The sequence below is a fragment of the Homo sapiens genome, chromosome 15 (assembly GCF_000001405.40).
Source record: "Homo sapiens chromosome 15, GRCh38.p14 Primary Assembly".
In the NCBI taxonomy this organism is placed as follows: domain Eukaryota; kingdom Metazoa; phylum Chordata; class Mammalia; order Primates; family Hominidae; genus Homo; species Homo sapiens.
Window position 1 is genome coordinate 74,907,194 of NC_000015.10, and position 10,955 is coordinate 74,918,148.

Sequence of the window (10,955 nt, forward strand, 5' to 3'; positions counted from 1 at the left end):
GAGAGCAGACTTGGGTTGAAGAGTCATATGAGGACAAGCGTTATCAGCGACCTTTTCTAGCAAAAGAAACAGGCCCCAGAAGTTAAAGAACCTTGTGAAGGTGACACATCTAGAGGCAGTGCTTGCGCTGATCCATCTGACGCCAAACCCCACCTTCTTTCCAACACCAATTGGTGCCTGTGACATTGGACAGGACCTGACCCTCTCTAGGCCTCAGTTTCCACATTTAAAAATAGAGCCAATGTCACTACTCATTGTACAGTGAGGCAAATAGGCGTTGAAAAGGAGGGTGAAAGTGCACTCTGAGTCTGTGTGTGGTAGGCTATGTGTCAGGGCTCTTGACTTCTCTAGCCCCCAAGGGATGTGCTTGTGACTGGCTGGAAAGAAACTCCAGATCCTTGTAGAACTCCCAAATCTCATGAGGCTGTCCCTTGACTAACTTACTGGCTTCAATAGGGTAGGTCAACAGTGTGCAACCTCCGAGCTCCCAGGGCCACGCAGACCGTTGGGTGGCACTATGCCTTGGGCAAGAGAGGTGAAAAGGAAGAATTTAGGGCTGAAGTTTTCAAAAATCAAAAGCACAAAGGAATCCTTACCATTTTGGTAGATTCCCCCCACTCCCCATGATGTTAGACTGTTTTTGCCTCCAGAAACAGCAGGTTCATATAGCTCAACTTAGTATTTAATGGTTATAACCTCCCAATGAAGCCAATAGTTATTCTTGTTAAACAAATGAAGCTTAGACTTGGTCAAGTTTACCAGTTAAGTGATAAACCTGGAATTTGTACCCAGTTGCCTGTGGACTCCAAAGAAGTAGTTTTCTGGCCGGGCACAGTGGCTCACATCTGTAATCCCAGCACTTTGGGAGGCTGAGGCAGGCGGATCACCCGAGGTAGGGAGTTCAAGACCAGCTTGGCCAACATGGTGAAACCCCATCTCTACTGAAAATACAAAATTAGCCGGGCGTGGTGGCGGGTGCCTATAATCCTAGCTATTCAGGGGCTGAGGCAGGAGAATCGCTTGAACCCAGGAGGCGGAGGTTGCAGTGAGCCGAGATCAGGCCACTGCACTCCAGCCTAGGCAACAGAGCAAGACGCTGTCTCAAAAACAACCAACCAACCACCCCCCAGCCAAAAAAAAAAAAAAAAAAAACCAACAAAAAAACAACGAAGTGGTTTTCTCCTGGTTATGCTGATGTGGACATCACCAAGGGCCAAAGAAAATGTGATTTAAACCAGCAGTCTCCAGCCTTTTTGGCACTAGGGGTTGGTTTTGTGGAAGACAGTTTTTCCACGGGGTGGAAATGCGGGGGCTGGTTTTGGGATGATTCAAGCACATTTATTGTGCACTTTATTATTACATTACAATATATAATGAAATAATTATACAACTCAACTTAGAATCAGTAGGAGCCCCAAGCTTGTTTTCCTGCAACTAGACGGTCCCATCTGGGTGTGATGGGAGACAATGACAGATCATCAGGCATTAGATTCTCATAAGGAGCCCACAACCTAGATCCCTTGCATGTGTGGTTCACAATAGGGTTCATGCTGCTATATGACTCTAATGCCACGGCTTATCTGACAGGAGGCGGACGGAGCTCAGGTGGTAATGTGAGCAATGGGGAGCCACTGTAAATACAGATGAAGCTTTGCTCACTCATGGACCAGTATCCATCCATGGCCTGGGGCTTGGGAACCCCGACCTAAACCCACTTAATGTCACAAGATCACTAGGAACTTGTAGCAAAAGTGTGACAGCCTTCATGCACACTCCTCCCAATCTTCCATCAATAATGCTGTTAACTGCTGACTGATTGAACATAGACCCTGAAGCCAAATTATTTGCTCTGTTACCTACTGGCAAATTATTAAACCTCTTTATGTCTCAGTTTCTTTAGCTAAGTGGAGATAAGAAAACCCATCTAATGGAAGTGGAATTGTGAAGTTCAGTTGTAAAGTGTTTAGAATGACACCTGGCAAATAGTAAGTGTTCAAGAAATATATGCTATTATTTACACAACCCTTATACAGCATTACAAGGATTTAGTGTTTATTCTCTCATTTGACTTTACACTCCCCAAGGGCAGACCTTATTCACTTTTTAGCATAAGGTTATAGTAATAAGTATTTGTTGAATTAATATCCTATTTCCCCTCTTTTAGTTAACTAGTATCATAGAACTTTGGGGCTGGAAGAGATCTTTTTTTTTTTTTTTTTTTTTGAGACAGAGTCTTGCTCTGTCGCCCAGGCTGGAGTGCAGTGGCGCGATCTTGGCTCACTGCATGCCCTACCTCCCAGGTTCACACCGTTCTCCTGCTTCAGCCTCCTGAGTAGCTGGGACTACATGCGCCCGCCACCACACCTGGCTAATTTTTTTTTGTATTTTTAGTAGAGACGGGGTCTCACCATATTAGCCAGGATGGTCTCAATCTCCTGACCTCGTGATCCGCCCTCCTCGGCCTCCCAAAGTGCTGGGATTACAGGTGTGAGCCACCGCACCCGGCCTGGAAGAGCTCTTAGAGATTATATAAAGTCATTATTAATGAAGAAATTGTGGTCTTGTGATAGTTGTACTCAATGATCCTGGCCTGGATGTGGGAAGTTCCCTTTTCCACTTAAGAAATTATGTTCACTAGGGCTCACGCCTGTCATCCCAGCACTTTGAGAGGCCAAGACAAGTGGATCGCTTGAGGCCAGGAGTTCAAGAGCAGCCTGGGCAACATGGCAAAGCCCCGTCTCCACAAAAAAAATAGAAAAAGTAGCTGGGCATGGTGGTGTGTGCCTGTGGTCTCAGCTACTTGGGAGTCTGAGGTGGTAGGATCACCTGAGCCCAGGCAGTTGAGGCTGACTGACAGGAGGTGGAGCTGCAGTGAGCTGCGATCGCACCACTGCACTCCAGCTTAGATGACAATGAGACCCTGTCTCAAAAAATAAATAACTTACAATTCAAAAAAAAAAAATTATGTTCACTAGGAACCTAAGACAAATAAATACCCACCCCACCACCAAAAATACCCCCAACCAACTCTAGGTTGCAAGGGGATGAGTCTCCAGAGCAAGAATTGCCACAGCAGAAAGGGCACAAAGCCCCTCTTCCTTGCTCCTACTACTCAGACCTTAACCCAGTGCTTGTGCTGCCTGCCTTGCTGGGCCTGGGGCTTCTCAATTTAGCATAGCTTTATTCATCTCCTACTGTGTCACAGGTGCTATGCTGGGTCCTGCAAACCTAATGATGACAAATAAGGTATCTCCCAGTTCCCAGTCTTATTTCTTTGTTATTGGGGGGTAGTGAATCCTCGGGGAGAGATTATTGGCTGTTAGGAGCAAGGACTACTACCCTGGCTTTTGGAACCCTCATTGGGCAGTTACTCTTTATCCCTGGCTCTAAATCTAAGTTATTCCCTAAACTTTCTTGGTCCTGGGACAGATACATCTCCATCATCAGTTGAGAATTCTGGTTCTGCTGTTGACTGGAGCTGAATTCCTTCATACAGGCAAGTATCTGGGGTTAAACATTAAAAGGGATGGAGGACAGAGATTTTTTTTTTTTATCCTGCTACTTCCCTTTCAAGCTCTCTTCCATCTCAGAAGCCACTGTCTCACCAGGTTGTGGCCTCTAGCCCAAGGAACTTCTCTCATTATTGGTAGAGTACAGATAACTAGATAGGACCTATGAATCTGCAGGTCTTTCTGGGTTCCCAGGTTACCAGACCCACCATTGTCCTCACAGTTATATGCAAAGGTATGGCCACAGCTGTGGCGGGCTGCTGTGGCTTGTCTCCACCAAACCCCATGTTTAAATTTGATCCCCAGTGTTGGAGGTGGGGCCTAATAGGAGGTATCTGGGTCATGGGGGTGGATCCCTCACGAATACATTAATGCTCTCTCTGAAGGTGGTAAGTTCTTATTCTATAAGTTCCTGAGAGAGCTGGGTTTTTAAAAAAATATCAATTATATATATATAGTGGGCCATAAAAACTATCTCTGCGGCCAGGCGCAGTGGCTCACGCCTGTAATCCCAGCACTTTGGGAGGCCAAGGCAGGCGGATCACAAGGTCAGGAGTTTGAGACCAGCCTGACCAACGTGGTGAAACCCCATCTCTACTAAAAATACAAAATTAGCCGGACGTGGTGGGGTGCGCCTGTAATTCCAGCTACTCAGGAGGCTGAGGCAGGAGAATGGCTTGAACCCAGGAGGCGGAGGTTGCAGGGAGCCGAGATCGTGCCACTGCACTCCAGCCTGGGCAACAGAGTGAGACTCCGTCTCAAAACAAACAAACAAACAAACAAACAAACAAAAACTATCTCTGCTTTCTTGAAGTGTGGATTTAGCCAAGGAGCCAAAAAACAAAAAAACATAGCAGTGGAAATTTACTAGTTATAGGGATAGTCTTAGATATATATTTATGTGTGAATATATATTATCTGTATAGATAACTAGGTATTAATGTCACATAAGATGGTGTGACCACACACACACACAAACACACGTGCAGAGAGAGGGAATTCAGCCACGTGGTGTAGGTTGGTTAATTACTTGAGATAAATGAGAAGCAGGCAGGTCTGTGCTGAGCTGTGTCATCAGTGAAGATCACACTTGGAGGTGACATTGAAGCTGATTCCTCAAAGAACCACGAAGGAGGCACGTGGAGACCCAGACAGGGAACATCAGAGGCTCCAGAAAGAGCAGGTCCCAGAAAAGTCTCAGCCTGTTCTTCAGAAAGGAATGACCACTTTGTCTGTGGGGTATAGTGGGAGGCAGAGGAGGAGATGGAGCTGAGATTCAGGGCCTTGGTGGATTCAGAATAGGTCAGGATAAACTGGCCAGGAAAAGGTGGCCCCACCATCTCAAGAGAGTTAGATATTAAAGAGCCTGGTATCTCCCCTTCCTCTTGCTTCCTCGCTCACCAAGTGATTTCTGCTCAAGCCTGCTCCCCTCTGCCTTCCGCCATGAGTGGAAGCAGCCTGAGGCCCTCACCAGAAGCTAAGTAGATGCCAGTTCCATGCTTCTTGTACAACCAAAACAACCGTGAGCTAATAAACGTTTTTTTTTTTTAGACCAAGTTTCACTATTATTGCCCAGGCTGGAGTGCAGTGGCATGATCTCGGCTCACCCCAACCTCCACTTCCCCAGTTCAGGCGATTCTCCTGGCTCAGCCTCCTGAGTAGCTGGGATTACAGGCATGTGCCACCACGCCTGTAATTTTGTATTTCTAGTAGAAATGGGGTTTCTCCATGTTGGTCAGGCTGGTCTTGAACTCCTGACCTCAGGTGATCCGCCCGCCTCAGCCTCCCAAAGTGTTGGGATTACAGGCGTGAGCCACTGTGCCCGGCCTAATAAACATTTTTTGTTAAGAGATGGGGTCTTGCCTTGTTGCCCAAGCTGGAGTACAGTGCTGTGATCATAGCTCACTGTATCCTTGAACTCCTGGGCCCAAGCAATCAGTCCATCTCACCTTTCTGAGTAGCTGGGACTATAGGTACATACCACTGTACCTGGCTAGTTTTTAAAATTTTTTTGGTAGAGATGGGGGTCTCACTATGTGGCCCAGGCTGGTCTCGAACTCCTGGCCTCAAGTAATCCTCCTGCCTTGGCCTCCCAAGGCACTGGGATTACAGGCATGAGCCCCTTTACTTTAAAAATTACCCAGCCCCAGGCCGGGCGCAGTGGCTCACGCCTGTAATCCCAGCACTTTGGGAGGCCGAGGCGGGTGGATCACAAGGTCAAGAGATCAAGACCAACCTGGCCAACATGGTGAAACCCCGTCTCTATTAAAAGTATAAAAATTAGCTGAGCGTGGGGGCGGGCACCTGTAGTCCCAGCTACTCGGGAGGCTGAGGCAGGAGAATCGCTTGAACTCGGGAGGCAGAGGTTGCAGTGAGCAGAGATCACGCCATCGCACTCCAGCCTGGGCGACAGAGCGAGATGCCGTCTCAAACAAAACAAACAAAAAAAAGTTACCCAGCCTCAGGTATCCCTTTACAGCAACACACTAAACCCGTTTAAGACAAAGGCCAAGCCCAGCACAGAGTCATCTCACTTGGCGTTCAACCAAACTTCTCCAATGCAGCAAAATGGCAAACTAAACAATGTTACTGCAAAATGTGACTATAGACTAATAGGCTCTGCTGCTAAGGACAAGCTCTCTGGCATCCAGTTAAACAAACAGCCAGGAAAAACTGAAGTGATAGTTAGCAAAACTTAGGAGAGAATGACTAGGCTTAAGCCATTTTCCCAAGCACAACCAAAAAAATGATTATAACAAATAGAACATAATCTGCTAACCTTTCATTCTTGTTATATCCTTGTGAGGTGGCTCCCATTTTCAGATAAGGAAACAAAAGGACAGAAGTGTAGGCAACATATACACAGTCATATGACTGTTATACAGTAGACTGGGATTTATACCCAAGTCTGAATCCAAACCCCATTTTCTCATCTTACTGCTACATTATGCTGCCTTCCATCAGCTGGTAGGTGTATGTAATAAAAAGACATGAGGACAAACTGACATCATGTCCCTCCTGAGGGGATACAATTGGAATTTCACATAGTATTTTTGCCAAAAATGTTTAGCTGGATTTGAATAATTAGGAAACAGACACAGGCAGATTACAGGACATTCTACAACTGGCCTGGACTCTTCAGAAATATGAACTGTATGTATTTGATGCTAAACTTATTATTTTTTTTTTTTTATTTTGAGACGGAGTTTCACTCTTGTTGCCCAGGCTGGAGTGCAATGGCCAATCTTGGCTCACTGCAACCTCCATCTTCCAGGTTCAAGCGATTCTCCTGCCTCAGCCTCCTGAATAGCTGGGATTACAGGCATGAGCCACTACGCCCAGCTAATTTCTGTAGTTTTAATAGAGACAGGGTGTCTCAGTGTTGGTCAGCCTGGTCTCGAACTTCTGACCTCAGGTGATCCACCCGCCTCGGCCTCCCAAAGTGCCAGGGTTATAGGCGTGACCCACTGCGCCTAGCCTGATGCTAAACTTCTTGAAATAGAACAGAATTGTGTTTATGTAGGAGGCAAAAGTCCTTTTTCTCAGATTTTTGCTGAAGTATTCAGGGGTGAAGTGACGTGTGTAGATATATAACATATAAACAAATGTGACAAACTATTAATTGCTTTGAAATTTATTTTCTTTTTTTTTTTTTTTTTTGAGACGGAGTCTGGCTCTGTCGCCCAGGCTGGAGTGCAGTGGTGCCATCTTGGCTCACTGCAAGCTCCGCCTCCCGGGTTCATGCCATTCTCCTGCCTCAGCCTCCCGAGTAGCTGGGACTACCGGTGCCCGCCACCTCGCCTGGCTAATTTTTTGTATTTTTAGTAGAGATGGGGTTTCACCGTGTTAGCCAGGATGGTCTTGATCTCCTGACTTCGTGATCCACCCACCTCGGCTTCCCAAAGTGCTGGGATTACAGGCGTGAGCCACCGCACCCGGCCTGCTTTGAAACTTAATTAAAACAAACTGTAGGAAAGAAAAAGGCTAGAGACCCCATCCTGTTAGGGTAGAAGCCCTGTCCATCCAAGTCAAGCTGTGGAAGGATCCTCATATTTACCATCTACTTCTTTTGTTTGTTTGAGACAGAGTCTTGATCTGTCGCCAGGCTGGAATGCAGTGGCACGATCTCGGCTCTCTGCAACCTACGCCTCCCAGGTTCAAACAGTTCTCCTGCCTCAGCCTCCTGAGTGGCTGGGACTACAGACGTGCACCACCATGCCCAGCTAATTTTTGTAGAGACGGGGTTTCACCATGTTGGGAAGGCTGGTCTTGAACTCCTAACCTCATGATCCGTCCGCTTCAGCCTCCCAAAGTGCTGGGATTAGAGGCGTGAGCCACTGCACCCAACCCATCTACTTCTTTAGGTAGAGCTAGGATCCATCAAGCTAAAAGATGTACCTACTTTTTTTTTTTTTTGAGATGGAGTTTCATTCTTGTTACCCAGGCTGGAGTGCAATGGCATGATCTCGGCTCACCGCAACCTCCGCCTCCCAGGTTCAAGCGATTCTTCTGCCTTAGCCTCCTGCTGGGATTACAGGCGCTCGCCACCATGCCCAGTAAATTTTTTGTATTTTTAGTAGAGATAGCGTTTCACTGTGTTGGCCAGCTGGTCTCAAACTTCTGACCTCAGGTGATCCACTCACCTCAGCCTCCCCAAGTGCTGGGATTACAGGCGTGAGCCACCGCGCCTGGCCAAGATGTACCTACTTTTTCCAGCACAACAAAGAAGTTGATTCAATTTGCCTAATGGGTGTGTGTGTGAAGAAAGTTTGATGAGACAAATTCACCAGTAGATTGAATTTATCTAGTCACTTTTGCCTTCTAGTAACATGCCTTGTGATTTTTGTAAGTTTGCTTCTTGTGAAAATTATTTCTATTATTTTAGAGTAAAGGTGGGCAAACTTTCTGTAAACAGGCAAATAGTACTCTCTGGTCCAACTACTCACTATGTCATTTTAATGCAAAAGCAGCTATAGATAATGCACAGTGTGAATGTACCTAATGCCACTGTACTGTAAACTCAAAAATGGTCAAGATGAGGCCAGGTGCAGTGGCTCATGCCTGTAATCCCAGCACTTCGGGAGGCCCAGGTGGGCGGATCACGAGGTCAGGAGATTGAGACCATCCTGGCTAACACGGTGAAACCCCGTCTCTACTAATATAAAAAATTAGCCGGGCGTGGTGGCTGATGCCTGTGGTCCCAGCTACTCGGGAGGCTGAGGCAGGAGAATGGCGTGAACCTGGGAGGCAGAGGTTGCAGTAAACCGAGATGGCGCCACTGCACTCCAGCCTGGGCGACAGAGCGAGACTCCATCTCAAAAAAAAAAAAAAAAAAAAAAAAGGTCAAGATGGTAAATTTTATGTATGATCTTACCATAATTTACTAAAAGGCAAAAAAATAAGCCACAGATAATATGTAAATGAATGAGGGCGTGTGACTGTGTTCCAATAAAACCTTATTTATGGACACCATATTTGAATTTATTATTTTTTGAGACAGAGTCTTGCTCTGTCGCCCAGGCTGGAGTGCAGTGGCATGATCTCGGCTCACTGCAACCTCCGCCTCCCAGGTTCATGCCATTCTCCTGCCTCAGCCTCCGGAGTAGTGGGGACCACAGGTGCCCGCCACCACGCCCGGCTAATTTTTTGTATTTTTAGTAGAGACGGGGTTTCACCATGTTAGCCAGGATGGTCTTGATCTCCTACCTTGTGATCCACCCACCTTGGCCTCCCAAAGTGCTGGGATTACAGGTGTGAGCCACCATGCCCGGCCCATATTCTGAATTTCATACAGTTTTTATATATTATGAAAAATTTTTTTTTTTTTGAGTCAGAGTCTCGCTCTGTCGCCCAGCCTGGAGTACAGCAGCATGATCTCGGCTCACTGCAACCTCCACATCTTGGGTTCAAACGATTCTTCTGCCTCAGCTTCCCGTGTAGCTGGGACTATAGGTGCGTGCCACCATGCCCAGCTAATTTTTATATTTTTAGTAGAGACATGGTTTCACCATATTGGCCAGGCTGGTCTCGAACTCCTGACCTTGTAATCCACCCGCCTCAGCCTCCCAAAGTGCTGGGATTACAGGTGTGAGCCACCGCGCCTGGCCGAAATATTTTTCATTGATTTTTCAACCATTTAAAAACATACCAGGCCGGGCACGGTGGCTCACGCCTATAATCCCAGCACTTTGGGAGGCCGAGGCAGGTGGATCGTTTGAGTCCAGGAGTTTGAGACCATCCTGGCTAACACGGTGAAACCCCGTCTCTACTAAAAATACAAAAAATAAGCCAGGCGTGGTGGCGGGCACCTGTAGTCCCAGCTACTCGGGAGGCTGAGGCAGGAGAATGGCATGAACCTGGGAGGCAGAGCTTGCAGTGAGCCGAGATCATGCCACTGTACTCTAGCCTGGGCGACAGAGCAAAACTCTGTCTCAAAAGAAAAACAAAACACAAAAAACCCATACCAGCCTGGGCAACGTGGTCTACAAAAAAATACAAAAATTAGCTGGGTGTGGTAGCATGCATCTGTAGTACCAGCTCCTCAGAGGCTGAGATAGGAGGATTGCTTGAGCCCAGGAGGCAGAGGTTGCAGTGAGCTGATACCACACCACTGTACTCCAGCCTGGGTGACAGAGCAAGACCCTGTCTCGAAAAAAAAAAAAAAAAGTAAAAATTCCTAGAGCACCCCAGGTGCAGTAGCTCATGCTTGTAATCCCAGCACTTTGGAGGGTGAGGTGGGCGGATCACTTCAGGCTAGGAGTTCAAGACCAGTCCAGCCAACATGGTGAAACCCCATCTCTGCTAAAGCTACAATAAATTAGCCAGGCGTGGTGGCACATGCCTGTGATCCCAGCTACTCAGGAGGCTAAGGAAGGAGAATCGCTTGAACCTGGGAGGCAGAGGTTGCAGTGAGCCGAGATTGTGCCACTGGACTCCAGCCTGGGCAACAGAGCAAGACTCCGTCTTAGAAAAACAAACAAACAAACAAAAAACTTACCAGAGTACCCGTTTCCTTCTAAGGGTATACATGAGTGAATCAGATAAAATAAAATGTTGAAATCTCAACCTTACCTAAGATACAAAGGAGGCCAGCTGTGGTGGCTCACGCCTGTAATCCTAGCACTCTGGGAAGCCAAGACAGGCAGAGAGCTTGAACTCAGGAATTTGACACCAGCCTGGGCAACATGAGACCAAAACCACAAAAATTAGCCATGTGTGGAGGTGCACGCCTGTGGTCCCAGCTACTCTGGAGGCTGAGACGGAAGGATTGTTGGAGCCCGGGAAGTCGAGGCTACAGTGAGCCATGATCACATCACTGCACTCCAGCCTGTGTCAGAGCAAGACAGTCTCAAAACAAAACAAAAACACATTAAAAAAAAAAAAAAAAGCAAAGGCAACAAGAATCACTTTCCATCTACTAGTTCTATCCAGCTACAAATAAATCTT